At 46.2% G+C, this 24,086-nt stretch overlaps 4 annotated features.

Moving 5' to 3' along the window:
• Positions 10,267 to 10,766: an enhancer, noted in NCBI's record as "H3K4me1 hESC enhancer chr10:111924423-111924922 (GRCh37/hg19 assembly coordinates)". NCBI's record gives its function as "activates a minimal SCP1, AML or CMV promoter by ChIP-STARR-seq in naive H9 embryonic stem cells {active_cell/tissue: H9 hESC(naive)}" and the evidence as "EXISTENCE:reporter gene assay evidence [ECO:0000049][PMID:30033119]".
• Positions 14,478 to 15,445: an enhancer, noted in NCBI's record as "OCT4-NANOG hESC enhancer chr10:111928634-111929601 (GRCh37/hg19 assembly coordinates)". NCBI's record gives its function as "activates a minimal SCP1, AML or CMV promoter by ChIP-STARR-seq in naive and primed H9 embryonic stem cells {active_cell/tissue: H9 hESC(naive and primed)}" and the evidence as "EXISTENCE:reporter gene assay evidence [ECO:0000049][PMID:30033119]".
• Positions 16,113 to 16,407: a silencer, noted in NCBI's record as "tiled region #9707; K562 Repressive non-DNase unmatched - State 22:ReprW". NCBI's record gives its function as "represses a minimal TATA promoter and a strong SV40 promoter by Sharpr-MPRA in K562 cells {active_cell/tissue: K562}" and the evidence as "EXISTENCE:reporter gene assay evidence [ECO:0000049][PMID:27701403]".
• Positions 19,745 to 20,340: an enhancer, noted in NCBI's record as "OCT4-NANOG hESC enhancer chr10:111933901-111934496 (GRCh37/hg19 assembly coordinates)". NCBI's record gives its function as "activates a minimal SCP1, AML or CMV promoter by ChIP-STARR-seq in naive H9 embryonic stem cells {active_cell/tissue: H9 hESC(naive)}" and the evidence as "EXISTENCE:reporter gene assay evidence [ECO:0000049][PMID:30033119]".

Raw genomic sequence — 24,086 nt, forward strand, 5'->3', positions numbered from 1 at the left:
AATGTCCATCAACTGATGAATGAATAAACAAAACATGGCATATGCATTCAAGGAATATTATTTAGCCATGTAAAGGGATGAAGTACTGATACATGCTACAACATGGTGAACCGTGAAAACACTGTGCTAAGTGAAAGAAGACACCTATTGTAACATTTCATTTGTATGTGAATGTCTTGAGATGTCAAGAATAGTAAAAATCAGCCAGGTGCCATGGCTCATGCCTGTTATCCCAGCAGTTTGGGAGGCTGAGGCAGGTGGATCACTTGAGGTCAGGAGTTCGAGATGAGACAAGCCTGGCCAACAGGGTGAAACCCTGTCTCTACTAAATATACAAAAAAATTAGTTGGACGTGGTGGCAGGTGCCCGTAATCCCAGCTACTTGGGAGGCTGAGGCAGAATTGCTGGAACCCAGGAGGCAGAGGTTGCAGTGAGCTGAGATCGCACCACTACACCTCCCGCCTGGGAGACAGAGCAAGACTCCGTCTCAAAAGAAAAAAAAATAGTAAAAATCCATAAACACATAAAGAAGATTAACGGTTCCCCTGGTGTCAGGGTGTGGGGTAAATGCAGTGACAGAAATGGCTGTGGGGTTTCTTTTGGGTGTGATGAAAATGTTCTAAAATCAGATAATGGTAATGGTTTCAGAACTCTGTAGATACAGTAAAAACCACTGAATTGTACACCCTAAAATGGTGAATTTTATGGTATGCGAATTATATCCCAACAAAGCTGTTTTTAAAAAATTGGGCCAGGAATTAAAGACCAGCCTGGGCAACATAGTGAGACTTCCTTTCTACAAAATTAAAAAAAAAAATTGGCCAGGCATGGTGGTATATGGCTGTAGCCCCAGTTACTTGGGAGGCTGAGGTGGGAGAATCGCTTGAGCCCAAGGGGTCAAGGCTGTAGTGAGCCATGTTTGCACCACTGCACTCCAGCCTCGGTGACAGAGTGAGATCCTGTCTCAAAAAAATGACTATAACCTAAATGTCCAACAATAGGGGCTTATTGAGAAAACTGTGATACAACTGGTAGACAACTCTGCAGTGATTTTCAATGATGCAAAATGTTGGTATGAAAATGTTTTAAGGTTATCGAGTAGTTAAAAAAGGAGTAATAGAACAATGAGAACACATGGACACAGGAAGGGGAACATCACACTCTGGGGACTGTTGTGGGGTGGGGGGAGGGGGGAGGGATAGCATTAGGAGATATACCTAACGCTAAAGGACGAGTTAATGGGTGCAGCACACCAGCATGGCACATGTATACATATGTAACTAACCTGCACATTGTGCACATGTACCCTAAAACTTAAAGTATAATAATAATAAAAAGACAAAAATAAATAAATGAAAAAATTATAGCAAATCTTTACTTTTTTAAAAAAAAAAAAAGGAGTAATAGACTCAAAATAGAGTATTGGATTCCATTCTGTTAGGTGTGTGTGCGTGCGTGTGTGTGTGTGTGTGTGTGTGTGTGTGTCTGCATAAGAAAATGGAAAGATCACCAAAATGTTACAGGTCCCAGCTGGGCATCAGGGATACATTTTATCCTCTCTGCAGGGGAGGTGGTGGGGAAGCCATCTGAATTTTCTAATATTTCCACATAGTAAACATCTATTAGTTGTGAAATTTCTAAAAAGAGTGATTAAGAGATCATCCTTGCCCCTCCAAGGGTTCACAATCTAGCAAGGAAGATGAATACAAAAATTGCAGAGGGAGGCCAAGAGACCGGGAGAGAGTGGAGTTCAGTTTTACTGAAGGGCACCAGGGAGCTCTCCTGGGAGGGATGGAGTCTGAAATTATGGCTGAGGCTGGCCGTGGTGCCTCACACCTGTAATCCCAGGACTTTGGGAGGTCGAGGCGGGCAGATCACCCGAGCCCAGGAGTTCAAGACCAGTCTGGGCAATATGGCGAAACCCCGTCTCTACCAAAGAAATACAAAAATTAGCCAGGTGTGGTGGCACACGCCTGTAGTCCCAGCTGCTAGGGAGGCTGAGGTAGGAGGATCACTTGAACCTGGGAGGTCAAGGCTGCATCAAGCTATGATCACACCACTGCACTTTAGCCTGGGTGACAGAGAGAGACTCTGTCTCAAAAAAAAAAAAAAAAAAAAAAAAGTATGGCTGGAAGAAGCATTTGGGGGCACCACCAGAAAACTGAGCCTACAACCCTCAATTTCCAAGAGACAAATGGGAAGGGGCAAATGGCATTTCTCATCAACTGCTTCCAGAGATTTTGTGTCCTGTGTGGCCCAGTCCTCACCTCATGTGATTGAATAATTCTGGATAGAGATTGTGCCTTCCGTACCCCTACAACCATTGGTGGGAGATCGAGTACATTTATCAAAAACCTATGACCAGGCAGTCATCAAACTCGCCTGGCAGCATTTGAATGGGGTCTGGACCAGAGTCCCCTGGGGCAGCCACTGGGTGGAGGGTGCAAGTGTGGATTCAGAGAGGCAGGACACGGACCCTCAGTCCCCTGCGGCTTCCCACGTCCACCCCTTTTTCTTTCTGGTTAAATCCTGTTTCAGCTCAAACTGGGGAGATGCCTAGTGGGGTGTGAGCAGAAGTCAGAGACTGTGAAATAAAACAAGAAAGATCAACAGGAAGCAGGCAGCTAAATCATGAGGAGAACGACGTCGAGAGGGCGTGGGCTGGGTTTGGTCTTATTTTTAGTGGTCATGGTGGTGACAGTGGTGGGGAATTGAGGCCAGAAGCAGGAAGCTGGGTTTCCCAGCCTCAGCTTTTGATGGTTTCCGGGTCCCCGTGGGCCAGTGAAGAAGCAGCCCACCCCTGTGATAAACCAGTTTGTTAAGTTGCCTTTGTCTTTGAGAGATTTTTATACGTTTTTTGTGAAACCGCTGCTGCTGCGAGGGGCCCCTCAAATCACGAATAAAGCAGAGGCTATTAACCAGGGTGTGAACACTGCCCTGCGCATGCTCTGTGAGTGAGCCCCACACACGCACAGGGTGGGCACTCACAACACGGGGAAGGGAGCTTTTGACAGGATCCAAAGGGCCCCACAATTTATCCCAAATTAAGAATCACTAATAAGGCCGGGTGCGGTGGCTCACGCCTGTAATCCCAGCACTTTGGGAGGCTGAGGTGGAGAATCACTTGAGCCAGGAGTTTGAGACCAGCCTGGGCAACATAGCAAGAACCCCATCTCTATAAAAAACACAAAAAATTAGCTAGTCATGTTGGTGCACGCCTGTAGTCCCAGCTACTTGGGAGGCTGAGGTGGGAGAATCGTCTGTGCCTCAGAGGTCAAGGCTGTAGTGAGCCAAGATCGTGCCACTGCACTCCAGCCTGGGTGCTTCCTGGTTAATAGATTCCGTGTCTGGTAGTGATCCATTTCCTGGCTAATAGATGGCCATCTTTTCGCTCTGTCCTCACATGGTGGAAGGGGCAAGGACTCTCTCTCTGGCCTCTTTTATAAGGGTCGTAATCCCACCATGAGGCTTATGCCCTAATGACCCACATCACCTCCCAAAGGCCTCACCTCCTAATACTATCACATTGGGGATTAGGCTTCAACACAAAAATTGGGGGCAGGAGCACACACATTTAAACCACATCAGGTTGTCAAAAATAAAGTTTGAATCTCAGCACTGCGACTGATTTGCTGTGGGATTTTAGGCAAGTGACTTAATGTCTCTGAGCCTTAGTTTCCTCATCTGAAAGTGCATCTAAATGAGATATGGCACCTGAAAGCATCTAAGGGATATTTGCTGTATCTGAGTCTCTCTGGAGAGGGTGGGTGGAAAGGCATTCTGGGGCAAGCAAGGCCAGCGTGCAAATTAGCACCCTGACTGGCAGAAGGCATAGGGGACAGAAGAAGCTCGTGATGCAGCAGGAGTTGGGTCAGCTGGGGGCTTGCCAATTGTCCAAAGGCCCTGCCACAAAGAACCACTTCTTTTTCCTCTGTTTGAGCCCCCTCCCCTCCTCCTCCCTAATACTTCCGCCGTAACCTGTCTGCACACCCCACCAGGCATCTTGTTTTTACCTGGTTGGCCTTTCCAGCTACTGCGTATTTCATTTTGTGTCCTGACTCCTCCAGAATCCTGGGAGTGCCTCAAGGCTAGTGAAATGGCCAGGAAGGAAAAACAGCAGAGAGGAGTCAAACAGACCATGCTGCAAGCCTAACGCGACTGAGTCGTGAGACCTTGGGCAGCTTAATTCCTCTGAGACTGAGTTTTTTCATCTGCAAAGAAGGAATCATTAACAGTACCTTTCTCATAGGGTGGTGTTTTAAAGATTAAAGGAGGTATTGCATGTAGAGACATAGATGGAAGGAAGTAAGCTCTCAGCGAGTCTTACTTGTTAGTTTTCTTCTTACCCCCACCATGTGGAATGCAGCACTGAGCAGGGCCTCAGCTTCCCAAACTCAGCCAGGTGTCATTGCAGTCCTTCCCACAGACTTGTTTTTCTGGCAGACACTTACATGACTGGCTTATTGCAAATACATGCACTATACTCCAAAATGCCCTTTTAGATGACTGATCCCAAACCCGGTGGCATGTCAGAATCATCTGGGTAAGCTTTCTTAAAAAAAAAAAAATACGGATTCCCAGATACCACCTTACCTACCAAATCAATCTCTGGAAATGGGGCCTGGGAATCTGTACTTTTAAAATGCCCCTCAGGTGGCTCAGATCCAGCCAGCAGATCACCATTTTAAAGGAAAACAGCCTTCTCTTCTTCTAAAGCTTCTTGTTGGCAAGTTTTGAGCCATCTTGTTCCATTATTCAGAACACCCCACAACGGACAATGACAAGATGTGTTTATTTTTTCATTCATTGAACACATGTTCATTAAGTGCCTCTGGTCTAGAATAACAGCTAAAAGTTTAAGCTCTGGGTCGGTTCATACCCACTGGGATGGCTATAAACAAAAAGACAATAACAAGTGTTGACAAGGGTGTGGAGAAACTGGAGCCCCCATACACTGCTGGTGGGAAGGTAACATGGTGCAGCCACTTTGGAAAACAGTCTAGCAGTTCCTTTAAAAAACATACGTTCTAGGTTCCTCTATCATCCCGCAGTTCCACTCCCAGCTGTATACCCAAGAGAGACGAAAACGTATGTCCATCCAAAAACTTGCTCATGCTTGGTCATAGCAGCATTATTCATAATACTGAAAACGTGAAAACAACCCAGTTCATCAGTTGACAAAGAGATAAAGTTGATCTGTCCATACAATGGACTATTTTTTTGGAAATGGAAGTGCTGATAGATGCTACAACAGGGAGGAACCTTGCAATCATTATGCTAAATGAAACAAGCCAGCCACAAAGGACCACATATCATATAATCCTATTTATATGAAATGCCCAGAATAGGCGAATCTATACAGACGGAAGTAGATAGGACTGAGAAGTTGGGGGAAATGGGGAGTAACTGCTAACGGGTATGGGCTCTCTTTCTGGGATGATGAAATGTTCTAAGATTGTTTGTGGTGATGGTTGCAGGACTCTGTTAATGCACTAAAAACTGTCTGATTGTATACTTTAAATGGGTGAATTGTATGGTATGTGAATTAGATCTCCATAAATTTATTAAAAGTAGAAAGTTCAGGCTCTGAAGTCTGACTTCCCAGGTTGGAATCCTAGCCCTGCTATTTCACTAGTTGGGCAATTTTATGCAAGTAATATAGCCTCTCCATGCCTTAGCTTCCTCATTGTAAGATTAATTTAGTTAATATGTGAAAAAGTTTAGAAGAGTCCCTAGCCCATGGGAAGTGTTCAGTAAACATTAGCTCTTCTTGTTTTGAGCCAGCCATGTTCTAGATCTGTGCTGTCCAATACAGTAGAGAATAGCACTTAAAATGTAGCTACTCCCCACCGCCACCCCCCTCCAAAAATGTAGCTACTCTGAATTAAGATATGCTAAAAGGACCAGGCACAGTGGCTCACGCCTATAATCCCAGCACTTTGAGAGGCTGAGGCGGGTGGATCAATTGAGGTCAGGAGTTTGAGATATGCTGAAAGTATAAAACACACATCAGATTTCAAAGGCTTAGTATGCAAAGTAAAAATCTCGTTAATATTTTATAATAATTACATGCTGAAATATTTTTGATATATTGGGTTAAATAAAATTTATTTGTAAAATTAATTTTACCATTTACTCTTATGTTTTAAAATTGTGGCTACTAGAAAACTTAAAATTGCATAGTTAACAACTAACATCATAATTAATGGTAAAAGACTGAAAGCTTTCCCCTAAGATCATGAACAAGACAAGGGTGTCTCCTCTTCTTGTCAGTTCTATTCAACATTGTGCTGGAGGGGCTAGCCAGGGAAATTAGGCAAGAAAGTGAAATAAAAGGCCAGTTTGGAAAAGAAGAAGTAAAACTATCTCTGTTGACAAATAATCTTTTATATAGAAAATACTAAGATATCTACCCCCAAGCACCAGGCTATTAGAGCTAATAAACAAGTTCAGTAATATTTCAAAATATAAGATCTGCATATAAAAATTAATTCTATATCCATATGCTAGCAATTAAAGTTTCAAAAATAGAATTTAGAAAACTATTTCACATCTAGTAGTATCAAAAGGAATAAAGTACCTAAGCATAAATTTAACAGAAGTACAAGATGTGTACATTCAAAACTGTAAAATATTGTTGAAGGAAATTGAAGAAGACCTAAATAAATGGAACAACAACACATAGTTGTGAATTGGAAGGCTTAATATTGCTAAGATGGCAATATTCCCAAAATTGATATAACAGATTCAATGCAATCCTATCAAAATTCCAACTGACTTCTTTGTAGAAGTTGATAAGCTGATCAAATGAATGTGGAATGCTTGTAAAATGCATGTGAAAGCGCAAGGAACCCAGAATAGCCAAAACAATTTTGAATAGAAAAATAGAAGATTCATACTTCTCAATTTTAAAACGTACTACAAAGCTACAGTAATTAAGACAGTGTGGTACTTGTCTAAAGATATAGACATAGAGATCAATGGAATAGAAATGAGGGACCAGAAATAACTCTCACAGTTGTGGTCAATTGATTTTCTTTTTTTTTTTTCCCTTAAAAACAGTGTCTCACTATGTTGTCCAGGCTGGTCTCAATCTCCCGGGCTCAAGCGATCCTCCCACCTCGGCCTCCCAAAGTGCTGGGATTTATAGGCGTGAACCACCATGCCCAACTGTCAATCAGTTATCAACCAGGATGCCAGGACCATTCAATGGTGAAAATAAGAGTCTTTTCAACAAATGGTGCTGGTGCAAATGGAGATTGACATGCAAAGACAGGTCAGGACTACACTTCGTGTTTCCTGTGTCCGGTGTCAATGTGTGAAGCTGCCTTGGATTAAACATCCAACGAGAAAGGAAAAACCCTCGTCTCCTCTTCCTGGGATCCCAGCCGCCAGAGCAGGGGCACCAGGCAGTACTCAGCACCACCTAAAGAAGTGCCTGTGCTTTGACCCGGCAATTCCACTTCTAGAACTTTACCCTACATACACACGCACACATGTGCACCACGACTTAAGTACGTGGTTATCTGCCGCAGCACTGTTCATAACAAAAAACTCTGGAGGTAATCTGTGTTCATCAGTGGGGGCCTAATTATGCTGCATCCATAAAGGACCATAATTTATATAGCAGTAAAAAAGAATGAGAAAGCTCTGTGTGTACTAATAAGGAATGATCTCTAAGATCCATCATTAAGTTAAAAAATAAGGTGCAGAGGCCAGGCTCAGTGGCTCACACCTGTCATCCCAGCATTTTGGGAGGCTGAGATGGGTGGATCATGAGGTCAGGAGTTCAAGACCTGCCTGGCCAATATGGTGAAACCCCGTCTCTACTTAAAAATACAAAAATTAGCTGGGTGTGGTGGTGCGCGCCTGTAGTCCAGCTGCTCAGGAGGCTGAGGCAGGAAAATCTCCAAACCCGGGAGGCGGAGGTTGCAGTGAGCGGAGATTGCACCACTGCACTCCAGCCTGGGCGACAGAACGAGACCCTGTCTCAAAAAAATAAATAAATAAATAAAAATAAGGTGCAGACAGTGTTCAAAGTATGTTAATTTGTTTATCGTGTGCGCTCATGTGTGTGTGTGTGTGTGTGTGTGTGTGTGTGTGTGTAGGGAAAAGGAGTGTTTGCATAGATACTAGATACTAGTACATTTGGTTGACTCCAGGGAGAAACTGGGTGATTTGGCAAGGGATAGGAGAGAAATGTTTATCGTACATCCCCATGTCTCTTTTGTATCCAGAGAAATAAATGCATATTCAAAAAAAATTAATAAAAGAAACCAGCAGAGTTGTTTCACAAACTTGAATACATGTTCTTCAGCCAAGTTTGACCTGAGCTACAACAGGAACTGGAAGTCACGGGTGGCTATTTTTCCTGCAGAATTACTGTGTGAGTTACTTTACCTCTGTTCAGAAGCGGAAGTGTGGGGATGATCAGTTCCCATTCCTTTCTTGCCCCCAGGGAGGTTGAGGAACTAAAGATTCTTCAGGCTGAGCTTTGAACTCCTGGGATACTCGGCACCCTGGAGGTGATGCAGAGGGCAGCTGTTGGTGCCCACACCCTTCTGCTGTTCTTGCATGCAGCTCAGTGGGGAGGCGTTTCCTCGTGCCATCAGGAAAGTGGCCCCTTAGGATCAATGGCACTGCCCAAGGGCTCCCCCATGTGATGGTGAGGGAGGAAGCCTGGCTCTGGCCCGGCTCTGGCCAACTCTGGCCCCAAGTTGATGTGGGAGATCAGACAGGTAAGTGAACTGTCTGTTCCAACAGTCCTCCCACAGAGCATCCCTCTTCCTAACCTCACAGGGACACCGGTGGGTGAGGATTCGCAAAGGAGAATGTGAAGCAATCAGGCTCTGACTGGTTTCTGGGGAACACCAAACTTCCCATGAGGAAGTAAGTGGCTTACTCCCCAAACTGACTCTCTGGTCAAAAAAAAAAAAAAAGAAAAGTCTGGGAAAGGCAGGATTAACAGAGTTAACCAGGTACCTTCACTGCAGACCTTCTCGGAGCCTTAAATATGCTAAAAGCACTGGGACATGTCAGATGTGGCTATCCCGTGTATCCTTTCCCAAACTTGTTTGACCGCAGAAGCACTTTGGAGCAAAACACCTATTAAACTCTCCTGGAATAAAGGCAACCCATGGAGCACAGTTTGAGAAGTGCTTATTAGGTGAAAGTAGGGTAAACACAAAACACCATTCAAAGGCACAATGGTAGAGATAATGACTGCAATATAAATTCCTGTCATTCTAACCTCCTATTCAGTTTCCCTGGCTCACAGTGCTAGGTGTTTTTAAAACTACAGACTATAAACCATTTGTGGGTAATGAAATCAATGTAGTAGGTTACAACTAGCTTTAAAACAAATGAATTTGGATGGAACAGAAAATAACAGAGGGTATTGCATTTAACATGGGTAAGCTTTGCTTTGTGAAGCACACATGCACACATGTATGCACTGGTTTGTGATAAAAAATGTATTTCTTACTGTGGATTATAGTCAAAACATTCAAAAAGACATTGCTCTAGAGCTCCTCTTTCAGTATTAGGGTAATTACCACGTGAGGGCTTCCCTACTTTCCCAACTGAACCTGTCTGACTGTCTGCTGAGGGCTCTGGGGACGGGGCCCCTCCCTGGCTGTGTGATTGCAGGACAGATTTTAGGATTAGCAGTGTCACCTCACTGGACCCAGAGAATGACAGAGGCCCCCTTTGTTATCCAATGTGCCCCAGAAATGCACATTCTTTCATTCTTTTTTCAAATGCTGCTCAGCCTTCCCGACCAGAAGCAACTTTCCACCTGGGAAAAACAGGATTGTTTTTGGGGCTCAAGCTTCTAGGTTCGACTTAGACATCCAGAATGCAACTCCCATGCCTTCCATTCTGAAAACTCATTTTGACTTTGACTCTTGGACATTTCTCTTTAGCTGCTGTGTTTTTCTTTCTTAAAACATTGTGCCTGGGCATAAGTCATTTCCTTGCCCTGATTCTCATTCTCTGTGATGGGTGAGTATTGTTTAAAACTTCAGGGAGTGGCTGAGCACGTGGCTCACTTCTGTAATCCCAGTACTTTAGGAGGCTGAGGTGGGAGGATCACTTGAGCCCAGGAGTTTGAGACCAGCCTGGGCAACAGGATGAGACCCATCTCTACAAAAAAAATTTAAAAATTAGGCCGGGCGCGGTGGCTCACGCCTGTAATCCCAGCACTTTGGGAGGCCGAGGTGGGTAGGTCACGAGGTCAGGAGATCAAGACCCTTCCTGGCTAACACAGTGAAACTCCGTCTCTACTAAAAAATACAAAAATTAGCTGGGCGTGGTGGCGGGTGCCTGTAGTCCCAGCTACTCGGGAGGCTGAGGCAGAAGAATGGCGTGAACCTAGGAGGCGGAGCTTGCAGTGAGCCGAGATCGCGCCACTGCACTCCAGCCTGGGCAACAGAGCGAGACTCCGTCCCAAAAAAAAAAAAAGAAATTAAAAATTAATAGGTGTAATAACATGCACCTGTGGTCCCAGCTACCTGGGAGGCCAAGGTGGGAAGATCATTTGAGCCTGGGAGTTCAAGGTTGCAGTGAGCTCTGACCACACCACTGCACTCCAGGCTAGGCAATACAGCAAGACCCTGTCTCTAAATAAATAAATAAATAAATAACTTTGGGGGGTTTCACACTGACCAATTGGAGCAAATATCCTGGGAAGCTTTATTTATTTATTCTGTATTAGTGATTGATTGATTCTCTGTTAAGGGGTGCTTTGTCAAAGTTCCAGCACAGCCACTGCCAGCTGTGTGACTCTGGGTAAGTGGGCTCCTCCCTCTGTGCCTCTGTTTTCTCATCTGTTCAGTGGGGGTAATAAAATCTGCCTCCCAGGAAAGTTATGACGATTAAATGACACAGTTTCTCCAAGACATTTATCACAGTCCTGGCACATAGTAAGAGCTCAATTAAGAACTTTTTTTTTCAAGACAGGGTTTTGCTCTGTCACACAGGCTGGAGTGCAGTGGCACACAATCACGGCTCACTGCAGCCTCGACCTTCTGGGCTCAAGCAATCCTCCCACCTCAGCCTCCTGAGTAACTGGGACTCTAGGTGCATGCCACCACGCCCGGCTAATGAGAACTAATTTAGTCACTGTTCCTCCCACTACTTCTTTGTAGTATAACTCATCTGTTTCCTTGAAACTTGAAGTGATCTGATCCAACCTTCTGTGTCTTTCAAAGGACCCGTCAAGGTTTGTAAAATAGCTTTGAGTGTTTGGAAGTAGTCCCCAAACCTGCAGAGGTCTCTGCCCAGACTCCCAAGCTTCCTGCCACCTCCTCCTTGGGTAGAAAGAGAGAGTCTAGTGTCATGAAGAGTTCAGGGAGGCTCTTCTGTGCCTTGGGAGAGCACACAGGGCCCTCTGAAGAGACCGTGACTTGCCTTCCCTATAGGTTTTGCTCAAGACTTTCTCCTGATTTTTGCACTGAATGGCCCCGATTCCAGGAAACCCTTCCATCCCGGGCAAATCAGGTCGGTTAGTCACCCTGCTTCCCAGGCCTCCATCTGGTGGCCTTTATCCCCCACCCAGGACTCCCTGCAGCCACTCACTTGGAATCCCCCACCCTCGCGCACATGCACGCTCTCTGCTTTCCCGCTCCCTGAGCTCTGCTCCCTCATTCGCTGGCTTCAAAAGCCCCAGCTTCACTGGCATTTCTCAGTTGACTCATCCATCTTCTCAGCTAATCTCTGTGTCCCTTGAGGCCAGGGACTCTATCTTGTCATAAATTCAGCCTTGCACCCCTCAGCAGCTCCCACTGCTTGAAGGGGCGACTGGTGCCTGACTGAGTGCTGGGCAGTTGGCTCAAAATCAGGAGGGAACAGCTCCAGGGACCACCTCCTCCTCTCCTCCCTGCTCATTGCACAAACCCAGGATGCCCCCTGCCCCTCTGGAATTCTACGTGGAAGCTGTGGCCCCAGACATGAGTAGAATTAACTGAGAGTCCTCCTTTTGACTAGAACCATCAGCAGAGATGACAATGTGGACTCTGAGCCAGTCTTGCTCAATGGGCCATGTTATCAGGAATGATAATGACCTTTACTGAAAACACTAATTCTGGCTGGGCATGGTGGCTCACACCTGTAATCCCAGCACTTTGGGAGGTTGGGGCAGGTGGATCACCTGAGGTCAGGAGTCCTAGACTAGCCTGGCCAATATGGCGAAACCCCATCTCTACTAAAAGTACAAAAATTAGCTGGGCGTGGTGGCACATGCCTGTAATCCCAGCTACTTGGGAGGCTGAGGCACAAGAATCCGTTGAACCCAGGAGGCAGAGGTTGCAGTGAGCTGAGATCGCACCACTGCACTCCAGCATGGGAGGCAGAGTGAGACTCCATCTCAAGAAAATAAAATAAAATAAAATGAAATAAATAAAACACAAATTCCTGGGCTCCACCTCAGATCTACTCAATCAGAATCCTTCAGGATGGGGCCCAGGAATCTGCTTTTGAATAGGTAATTCTGATGTCAACTAAAATCTAGAAACAATGATCTAGTTGTAGAACTTCCTTCACCTGCTCCACTCCCAGGTACCTTTCCTGGACTCAATCCCTGGCTCACACTCTACTGGAGGAGCAAATGTCGGCCCACCCAGTAATTTCAGGGCTGGGGGTCAGGTGGGTGGCGGAAAGGCCCAACAGCATGGTCATTCAGAAAGGATGATGTGGACAGGCCAGCCCCCTTCTCCAGCCTGAGACAGACCCTAGAATCTGGAATTGGTGAAGGGGAAAAGATGGCCCCAAAGCAGCCTGGCAAAAGACCCCCGGCCTGGGTCTTCCCTCCTCTAGCACGTGGTCTTTGCAGAAGTCTAAACCCCAATATTAGTCTTGAGTTTTTATTTTATTTTTTAATTTTTATTGTGAGACAGGTCCTTGCTCTGTTGCCCAGGCTGGAGTGCAATGGCACAATCTCGGCTTACTGTAGCTTTGATCTCCCAGGCTCAAGCGATGCTCCCATCTCAGCCGCCTGAGTAGCCGGGACTACAGGTGCATGCCACCACGTGAAGCTAATTTTTAAATTTTTGGTAGAGATGGGGTCTTGCTGTGTTGCCCAGGCTGTTCTTGAACTCCTGGGCTCAAGCAATACTCCCACATCAACCTCCCAAAATCCTGGGATTACAGGTGTGAGCTACTATATGTGGCCTGTTTTGAGTTTTTTTTTTTTTTTAATTAATTCTGAAGTGTTGCTCACCTGGAACTGGTCCCCAAAAGAGGACTTTCAGAGCCACAAATCCCTTGAAATTGACTACACAATTGTGCATGTGTGTGTGTGTGAATGCACATGCACGCTCATGTGCCTAATGGTTAATGGTGTGGACTGTGGAGTCACACTCACCACGTTTGAAACCTGGCTATACCAGTTTGCAACCAGTGACACAAGTTACTCAACTTCTCTGAAGCTTTGCTCTCTCAGCTGTAAAATGGGGATAATGAGAATAACTTACCATATGGGTTGTTGATAGGATTAAATGAGTTAGTACATGTAAAGCACCTAGAACAGCACTTGGCCTGTGGTAGATATTACTGATCATTAGCTGACAAAATAATAGCTTTTGGCACATCTTCAAAAGTCAGTGTTCCAAAAGAAGGTTAAGAAACACTGACGTTCTCTTGGGGCCCGAGAGGCAGTATCGTGGGGTGGTTAAGAGTGTAGTAGTCCCATCCATGAACTCCGAAAGCTCTGTCAGTTTAAGCGGGGCTGGGGACAAGTAACTGTACCTCTCTAAGCCTATTAATACATCCTTAAACTGAGAGCAACCGTGGCACTCATTTCAAGAGACTTCCGTGAGGGTTAACTAGGGGGCTGGATTTAGGGTGCTCAGCACAGCGTCCGGCAAGCATCAGTAAAGGCTCAGCAGCCATCACCATCATTTTGCTGCTGCAGGGGTTCCCAAGAGACAAGACTTCTCTATAATATCTCCTTTGCCAGCTTCCCAAAAAAAACCATCCACGAAAGCAGTCGGGAGAATGGTCCACGAAAAACTCCCTCCATCCATCCATACTGTCTCGGAAGGGATAACTTCTTCTCTGCAAGAGAGAGTTTTAACAACGACCGGCTCCCTACTGTCAGCCTCAGGGCGGAGAGAATCACTGAATCCCCTCCGAGCTAGAAATGAAGAGTCTCCCCCTTCACCTCCTCCCCTTCATCTGGCAAATGTGGCTTTCCTCTGCTTTTTCCTGGCTCCCAGAGCTCCTCCCAGCCCTGCCCTAGGTATCTCTGGGGCATCAGGGCGGCTCTGAAGACAGCTCAGGTGCCCTGGAGCCGTCAGAAGGTGCCAGAAAGTCTGACACAGTGGCTCAGGAAGGACCTGCCTAAAAATAGAATCTCCAAATCTCAGGCCACACAGGAGTCGGAAGCCCTGATAGAGTATCGGGTGCAGCTTCCTCTCAGTGGCGGCTCCCTAAGGCCATGCCTCCCACACCTACTTAGTGCTTGCTAAAAGCAGACTCTGGGGACCAACCCCTGCCCCACCCCCCTCCCCCGGAGATTCAGCTATGGTTCTGGAGGGGGAGGCCTGAGAATCTGGAGGTGGAGGAGCATCTAGGCAATTCATGTATCAAATAAGTTACAGCATCTCTTGAATGCCTCTGGGAATGTGGAAATCACCATTGACTGTCAAAGGTTGTGGAGAGGATGGAGTTAATGGTTAAGAGCGTGGACTTTAGAACCAGCAGCGGGTAGGGACCTCCGCTCTCCCAGGTGCTAGCTCAGCCACATTCAACCAGTTACTTAACTTCACTGAACTTAATTTCTCATCTGTGATCTGGGGGCAGTAATTAATTGCAGGCATCTACTTCCCAGGTGGTCAGGAGGTTTACTTAAGCCAGTGTAGATGAAAGTGCTTAGCATACGACTTGACATTGTCCTTCATAAATGGCTGTTGCTAGAATAACAATAACAACAACAACAGCAAGAAAGTAGTCTGATGTTCTTTCTTATGTTAAAAGAACATCTCCCTTTCTAAGATGTATATCCAAGGGGATTCTCTGCCCTCTGAAGCCCCACTTCCTAATCTCTTTTTTGTGACAGCCCTGCAGGTATCTGAAGGCAGGTACCACATCCCCCTTATTCTCCTCTCCCCAGTATTTTTTTCTTCCCTTTGAATATGAGGATTCTTAAGGCTGGGTGACAACCTCCCAGGTACAATTTGAGGAAGAGGTAGAACCCTCTCCCTCAGACCCCCCAGACACCACAAATCACCCAAAGTGTCACATCTTTATTTCTAGAAAGCCCCCGGTAAAAGTGTTTGTGATGGTGACTTAATGGCAGTCAGCAGTCACTAGCACAAAACAGCTTTTGGAATGTGTTAGAAGAGGGGAGCAAGATACTCAGGAAGAGGGTCCCAGGGCAGCCAAGGTGGCTGGATCCCAAGCATCCTCCTTGCACTGAACATGTGCCTCTCTCCCCTACCCCCTCCTCATCTCCCTTCTCCCTCCTGGTGTTGAACCTGTGCCCCAAGACCTCTGAAATAACTGCCCCCACCCCACATTTTTCAGAAGGAAGGGAGAGAGAAAGGGCTGAAAACTTCCCATTGAATGGCCTTTAGGGGATGGAGGACATTGTGCATGTTTTGCAACTCTGAGAGGAGCGCAGTATCTTCCCATGATGTAGAGGTTAAGTGCTCAGGCTTTGCAGAGACTGTCTTGGCACTGATCTCACATCTACCACTTAACCTCTCTAAGTCTCCGTTTATTCATCTGTTAAAAAAAGAAAGAAAGAAAAAAGAAATAATAACGAATATCCACTTCACATGGTTACATTGAGAAATAAATAAGATAATCCACATGAAAGTATCCTGCAAGCCTTTGCTACTGTGATCTCCTGCGCTGCAAATGGGAGGGTTTCACCAGCCCCAGCCAGTCTCCACAGCCGTGACAGATTTGGTTTAACGTCCTGGGAGACAGAGCTTCACACGATGTCCCCTAGAGCCTAAAGGCTGGTGGGGGGACTGGAGCAGCTGTTTGTCAATGGGGAGAGGTCAATGCTTCTGGACCAGAGGCTGGGCTCTGCCACATCCCCAACATGGAGCAGCTGCTCACATGGTACAGTTGAAGTGACGACCCCGGAGCTGCCCTTGAGCCCTTTATCACCCTGGACTTGGCCATGGCGTCTGCCCCCGCCCCCCCCACCCCTGGAAGGAGATTGTCAGTTTCCTTGTCCTTTTCTTTCAACTTGTAGCAGGAGGACACCCTGGAGGCAGGAATGGGTGTGGCTTTGCAGAAGAAGTTTTCTGGCAGCCTGGGGGGTTGCAGGAGGGGATCCTTCCTCTCCCTAACAGCCTTGAGCCAGGGACTTTAAACAACCCAGGGTGGATTTTCTTTCTGTTTGCATTTGGGCTCCGGGAAATTAAGCCTGATGTGTGGTCCTCCCAGGCCTTCCTGGAGAGGATCCCCGCCTTTCTCCCTTCCTCCCCAGCCCATTTATTGTGTAGCCCTTGTGGGCTGCTGGGTCCATCGGTGGCCAAAAACGTTTTTTTAAATCTGCTAACAAAGAATACTTCCTCTATCTCACACTACACTGAGGAACTATAAACTTTCTAACAGAAATGGGAGATCAGGAGTCAAAATATGGAACTAGAAAAAAAAATAAAAATAAAAAACCCAGACTATTTTCTTGGAGGGTTTGCTGTAATTTGCACAAAGGGCTGAGATCTGTCTCGCAGTGACTCCTTGTTGGAAGGCAGCTGCCCCTCGTTGGGGGCAGACCATCCTTTTCTTTCAGGTCCAGCGACTCCCTGAGGCTCTGAGCTGAGGAGAATCCCAATCATCCGCTGGGAGCCTAACCCTGCCTTTATAGATGCAGTATCTGAAGGGAAATGACTCACCTAAGATCATGGCTGACTGAACCTTACCTTTCCTCTCCCAGGAGGAGGATGTCACACCTCATGTTTCAAAGTTAGAACTGTGCGCAAATCACCACTATGTGATGTTGGATGCAACGGATGCAACTCTCTATATATAAATATATATTAGACACTACAAAATAATAGGAAAGAACAAAAATGAGTGTGCATCCAATTTGCTTCATAGAAGCCACGTTTTATTATCAGAAAGTTCAATGTAGGATGTTTTGGGGATCAAAGGGAAGCCAGCACATCCATCCTCTCGACAAACCATCTTTACCCTAAACTGCACAGCCTGAAATTCAACCCACCTAATAAACCCACTTTTAGTCTGAGAGTACACACACACACACACGCACACATGCATATATAGATATCTATATATCTATCTATATATTTATTTATTTTTTTGAGATGGAGTCTTGCTCTGTCGCCCAAGCTGGAATTCAGTGGCACAATCTCAGCTCACTGCAACCTCTTCCTCCTGAGTTCAAGCAATTCTCCCTCCTCAGCCTCCCAAGTAGCTGGGATTACAGACACCCATCATCATGCCTGGCTAATTTTTGTATTTTTGTAGAGACGGGGTTTCACCATGTTGGCCAAGCTGATCTTGAACTCCTGACCTCAAGCGCTCTGCCCCCCTTGGCCTCCCAAAGTGCTGGGATTACAGGTGTGAGCCACCACACCCGGCCTTATTTATATTTTTTAAACATCACAGAAAGACTTGGCCACAGTTTAAGGACCTGTCTTTCATGTGACTAATGGGCATCCAAGTCACTGATGCGATTTGAAGGACTTGGAAGAGGCCGCCCTGCACCCTAAAACTCTCCCCCAGCGTGCTGGCTCTGTGTCTGAAGTTCTATCATAGGTCCTGCTGCACATTCTTTGGTTTGGCTTTGTGTTTCTGGGGTCCCCAGAAATGGTTCCAGCGTGCCAGCTGAGCATTTGTCTACCATTAAGCCACTCAAATTCCAACTCGAATAACCACAACTTTTCCTGATTTTCCCCATTCCTGTGCACTTGTTTTCTTCTAATCTGCATGGTTGGTGTTTTGCAGTGCTCTGACAGCCAGATGTCACGTGTCTCTCTCTTGCTACCTTCAAGATGTCTCATGCGTATTAAGCAAACATGACTAAGAATGACAGTAATGCCCATTTACTTTAAAACAACTGTTATTTTTATGTTATGATGTCCCCCTACTGTCATTATCACTATGCTTATACGATTTTACACAGGTGTAATCAAGGCTTGGAAACTGTTTTGTATTCTTTATTTACCTGAAATTGTTTCATATGTACTTTTCCACAAATCTACTTAAACTTCCGTATTATCTTTCCTTTTTAGTTAATATTATTTTACCTCTTTTATTTTTCTTTGGAGAAGGCATCATAGCTCAAAAACTTCCTTATTATCTTTCTTTCGTCTCTTTTCTTTTTTTTTTTTTTTTTTTTTTTTGAGATGGAGTCTCGCTCTGTCGTCCAGGCTGGAGTGCAGTGCCACAATCTCGGCTCACTCCTGGGCAGTGGCACAATCTCGGCTCACTCGGCTCACTCCTGGGTTCAAATGATTCTCCTGCCTCAGCCTCCCAAGTAGCTGGGATTACAGTCGCCCGCCACCACTCCCAGCTAATTTTTGTATTTTTAGTAGAGACGGGGTTTCACTGTGTTGGCTAGGCTGGTCTCAAATTCCCAGCCTCGTGATCCACCTGCCCCTGCCTCCCAAAGTGCTGGGATTACAGGTGTGAGCCACCTCGCCCAGCCCCTTATTATCTTTCATAACAGCAATGTGCTATTCCATCAATTTAATAAAACAAGTGTACTTAACTGTTTTCTTTTGTTGGGCATTTGGACAATTTCCAGGTTTTCATCACTGTGGATCATGCTGCTATATTTTTATATAAACAGCTTTTTTAACTTTTGACCAACATCCTGGGGATGGCTTCCCCAAAATCCCTTTGGATTTTGAGTTCATGGGAGAAAGGGACTGCACTTGCTGTTTCTTTGACATTGCATACTTTTTTTTCTTTTTTCTTTCTTTTTTTTTTTTTTTTTTTTTTTTTAATTACAGACAGGGTCTCCTCCCTATGTTGCCCAGGCTGGTCTCAAACTCCTGAACTCAAGTGATCCTCCTGCCTCAGCCTCCCAAAGTACTGGGATTACAAGTGTGAGCCACTGTGCCCGGCCATGACATGTCATACTTCTTTTTTTTTTTTTTTTGATAGAGTCTCGCTCTGTTGCCAGGCTGGAGTGCAGTGGCATGATCTCGGCTCACTGCAACTTCCGACTCCAGGGTTCAAGCAATTCTCCTGCCTCAGCCTCCGGAGTAGCTGGGACTAGAGGCGCGCACCACCATGCCTGGCTAATTTTTGTATTTTTAGTAGAGATGGGGTTTCACCGTGTTGCCCAGGCCGGTCTCGAACTCCTGAGCTCAGGCAATCCACCCGCCTTGGCCTCTCAAAGTGCCGGGATTACAGGTGTGAGCCACTGCACCCAGCCGACATGTCATACTTCTTATGTCCACCTCTCAACCCCTGATCTCACCTAGGAAAGAAATCTGCTCATCCTGAGGGCTCTATGCTTGTGCTGACTGATATTGCAGAGGGATAGCCCTGTCTTTCTTACTGTCTTTAAAGAAAGAGATTGGTGATCTTTCTTTAGGAAATACCCTAATCCTTAACAGATTTGGCTGCCAGGACACATTGTCCAATGGTGGTTGGAGAAAGACCCTCCCAGGAATTACGGAAAGAAGGACTCCCCAGTACACTAGGCTGGCTGCCCACACATCAGCTGCAGAGTTTGACGTGAATAGTGCTCCTTGAGAACTGTGCTGGGTCCTTTTATTTCCAAGCAGTGAGTGATGAAGACAAGGAGTGGTTCTTCACCCCAGCAAAAAGGGTCCTGGACTGAAAAAGTCAATGGCTTCGGTGCTGAGCCAAGGTCAAGTCTGATTGTGTTTCCAGGAGATCAAGAACATTTCATTTTAAGCTATATATATTCAATAAACAGAAAAAGAGGGATTATGTCCTATTAGTGGGACTCCTCACAGGCCCTCAACACTGTAACAACTGGTCTGTGGGGGCAGGATGGGCTCTTAGAGTCTCTGCTCTGCCACTTACCAGCTGTGCCTCAATGGGCAAACCACTTGACCTCAATGATTTCCTTGGAGGCTACACAATGGGGACAATGCTGATGCTAAGGGACTCCACAGAGTTATTGTGAAATTATACAATGTAATATATGCAAAAGTGCTTTGTAAATACTAAGCAAATGCCAAGGATTTCTGTTACTGGTATTTGGATGATCATCATTGGCTAATTGGAGAACACTTCCTTTGTGCTTCTGAATGGAGGCTGTGACCTATGGCTTCTCTTTTGAATATCAGGTAACTGAGCTTAACAGCTCAACCTAGTCATAAAACAATATGATTTCAATCACCATGATTGAATTTTTTTTTTTTCTTTTTGAAACGGAGTCTTGCTCTGTCACGCAGGCTGGAGTGCGGTGGCATGATCTCCGCTCACTGCAACCTCTGCCTCCCAGGTTCAAGCAATTCTCTTCCCTCAGTCTCCTGAGTAGCTGGGACTACAGGTGCATGCCACCAGGCCTGGCTAATTTTTATATTTTTAGTAAAGACAGGGTTTCACCATGTCGACCAGGCTGGTCTCAAACTCCTGACCTCAAGTGATCCGCCCACCTCGGCCTCCCAACAGGCGTGAGCCACTGTCCCTGGCCAATTGAATGTTATTTTATGTGTAAGACATTGAGCTTCTGTGGAAAGAGAAGAGAGAGTTACTCACTGTGTGGGAGACTCTTCCTCATCCATTATGTTATTCAATCCTTACCACAACTTTGCATGATAGATATTATTATTCCCCTATAACGGAACAGAAATTACTTGGGAAAAGTCACCTCTCTGTACATGCCACAGCCTGGGAACTGAACTCTGTCTGACTACAGGGCCTATGTTCTCACCTTGATATTTTGTTACGTCTTTGTCCCTAGGACTTCAATGTAGATGGGCAATAGGTCAAGAGACATAGACAGGAGGTACCAGAGGAGGGAGAAAGGGCAATAATAGCTTACTATATGCATCAGTTAGCTATTGTGCATAACAAACCACCCCAAAATGTAGTGGCTTAAAATAATATGCTTGTGTTTAGCTCTTGAGTCTGTGGGTTGATGTAGTGGTTCTTCTGGTCTAGAACAGCTTCACGTGTGCACCTGTGTTCAGCTATTGGTCATCTGTAGGTTGGCTGTGCTTTCTCACATATCTAGGGCCTCAGCTGGGACAATGAGGCTGATTCAGCTCTGCCTCACTTAGTCTCTTATCATCCAGCAGGCTAGCCTGGGCATAGTCCCAAGGCAGAGACAGAATTCCAAGAGAGAGCAGAGTGGGTAAAACCTCTCGGGGCATAGGCTCAGAACTGGCCCACCTGTCACTGCTGGCCAAAGGAGGGGGGCAAGGGTCAGGGGAGCAGGGGAGGCAATATTTCCTGCTGCCCAAAGGGGAAAAAAACTAATATTTCTGTTTAACATGTTTGCCTAATTAAAACATTTAATCCTAATAATACCTCCTTGAGATGGAAACTGCTAGTAGTCCCACTTTACAGATGGGGATATTGAGTTACAAAGGGACAAGGCAAATTTTCCCTAAGAAGCACTCTCTGTTAAGTGGCAGAAAGTTGAGATTACAACCCAGAAGTCACTCTCTTAGCCACTTGTGCATACAGTATTTGCAGCATGATGCTCCCCTGGGGAGGGGCAGAAACCAAGGCTGCTGAGGGAGATGGGGTAGGTTACACAGCACAGAATGCCTGCCTGTGCCACCCTGATAGGTGTCCAAATTGCCCAGCTTCTGTGACCTCCTTCTCCTGAGAAGGTGCCGAGGGAAGAAAGGGAAGGGGCCCTGGAGGATGGCATAGCCCAGCCCAGGCCACTGGCCCTTATATCACTGGAAATGCTTGTTTTGGTGCATTTAATTTTTTAAAAACGTCCCCTGGCTGGGACTTTCCATGTCTGGCTCAGTCAGAGAGCTGTTTGCCTGGGACGAGCTGGGAAGCCTTTGGACCTCGGAGTCCCCGATTGCCGCCTCAGCTCAGCATTGTCACAAAAATAGCCCTTCTTGGGGAAGGCAGGTACTTCCTCTGGCTGCGTTTCCCCTCTCAGCCCCGCCTGGCCCTCAGAAGAAAAGAGACACAGAAGCCACTGCACACAGGACTGGGACGTGGCTGGGGAGAGGGCTTTATGGGGACTCAACAGTAACAAAGGGAGGAAATGAATATGCAGTATTAGTAATTATACTGTACGCGTCCCAATTTGTATTTCAATATGTCATTTCCATAATAAAACTGCTGAAGCGAGTAACTAATGACACGGACTCATGTCAGGGAGTTAGGAGAGGAAAGGGGTGACAGGGGCTTTTTTTTTTCCTAATAACAAAATTGCCTTCAGTGAGAAACTCTTTCACGGCAGACTGGCTGTTCACAAGGCAGATGTATTTCAGGAGATGAAGCTGCAGCCCAAACCCTTTATGGAAAAGGAGTCAAGGTTGACCGGCCAACTGTTGGCGCTCCCTGGCTTCCACAACTGTGTGGAGTTATGCTCCGGGGCAGGGACACAGCCTACAGGACCTCGAGGCTGGATAAGAGCAAACTGAGATGTAATTTGAGCTTTGGAAAGCCCAAAAGCTAAAAGTATGAGCTGGCCAGTCTTATGAATTTGGCTGTCCCATTTAAGGTCCCGAACCTATTATATTTCTTTTTTTTTTTTTTTTTTTGTGAGACAGAGTTTTGCTCTTGTTGCCCAGGCTAGAGTGCAATGGCGCGATCTCGGCTCACTGCAAACTCCACCTCCCAGGTTCAAGGGATTCTCCTGCCTCAGCCTCCTGCGTAGCTGGGATTACAGGCATGCGCTACCATGCCTGGCTAATTTTGTATTTTTAGTAGAGACAGGCTTTCTCCATGTTGGTCAGGCTGTTCTCGAACTCTCGACCTCAGGTGATCCGCCCGCCTCGGCCTCCCAAAATGCTGGGATTACAGGCGTGAGCCACCGCGCCCGGCCCCGAACCTATTATATTTCTTTTTTTTTTTTTTTTAGACGGAGTCTCGCTCTGTCGTCCAGGCTGGACTGCAGTGGCGCCATCTCGGCTCACTGCAAGCTCCGCCTCACAGGTTCTTGCCATTCTTCTGCCTCAGCCTCCCGAGTAGCTGGGACTACAGGCGCCAGCCACCACGCCCGGCTAGTCTTTTGTATTATTTAGTAGAGACAGGTTCTCACTGTGTTAGCCAGGATGGTCTGGATCTCCTGACCTCGTGATCCGCCCGCCTCGGCCTCCCAAAGTGCTGGGGATTACAGGAGTGAGCCACCGCGCCCGGCCTGAACCTATTTTATATTTCTAAGAACCTCCATGCCTTTGCATTTGCTGTTCCTTCCGCTTGGAGTGCCCTTTCTCCTTTCTTTGCCTTTCTACTTGTTCATTTGTTTGAACTCAGCATTATGGTCACCTTCCTAGAAGCCAGCCCTGGCCACCGGTCCCCAGATTCGGATTCCCTATGTTGGAGAAATGTGCTCTGTGCAGGCCCTGGGCTGACGTCTGCAACACTAGCCGCATCACATGGTAATTGCCATTTCACTTCTCCCCTCCCACACTGGGGCAGAGAGCCCCGCACAGTAGGTCAGAAACTCCAGGCCGGGGCCCTTCTGAGGAAGGGGAGGAGGAGAAACCGCCACAACCTTCTCCATCTCCCGATGATCAAGTCAGATTTATCTGGCTTTGCCCAAAGCGCCTTTCTCCACTTATAGATGAAAGAGAGTACAGGAAAAAAAATCACAGAGTAAGTGTCTGGTTATGAAAAAAAATAATAATCCCCCCATAACCGTACGGTGCTCTACCAATTACACAGCCCTTTGGGAACCCTATTCCAATGGATTCTCTCTTAACAACACTGTGAGGTAAGCAAGCAGGAATTATAGTTCTTTTCATGTCACAGAGAAGAAAGCCAAGACTCCAAGAATAAGTGACCTGTTCAAGGTCACATGGTGCAGATGTGTGTTTGGAGCTGAGACCTGAACTCTGGTCTCCAATTCCAACTCCAGGGCTTTTCCTACTGACTTGGAAGGTGTTGTGATGGTTTCATAAAGCATACCAGTCATCAGGCTGAGATGTTATTTTTTTTAAAATTATTTTGATTTTTATTTTGATACAAAGTCTCACTTTGTC

Source organism: Homo sapiens, chromosome 10 (genome assembly GCF_000001405.40).
Source record: "Homo sapiens chromosome 10, GRCh38.p14 Primary Assembly".
In the NCBI taxonomy this organism is placed as follows: domain Eukaryota; kingdom Metazoa; phylum Chordata; class Mammalia; order Primates; family Hominidae; genus Homo; species Homo sapiens.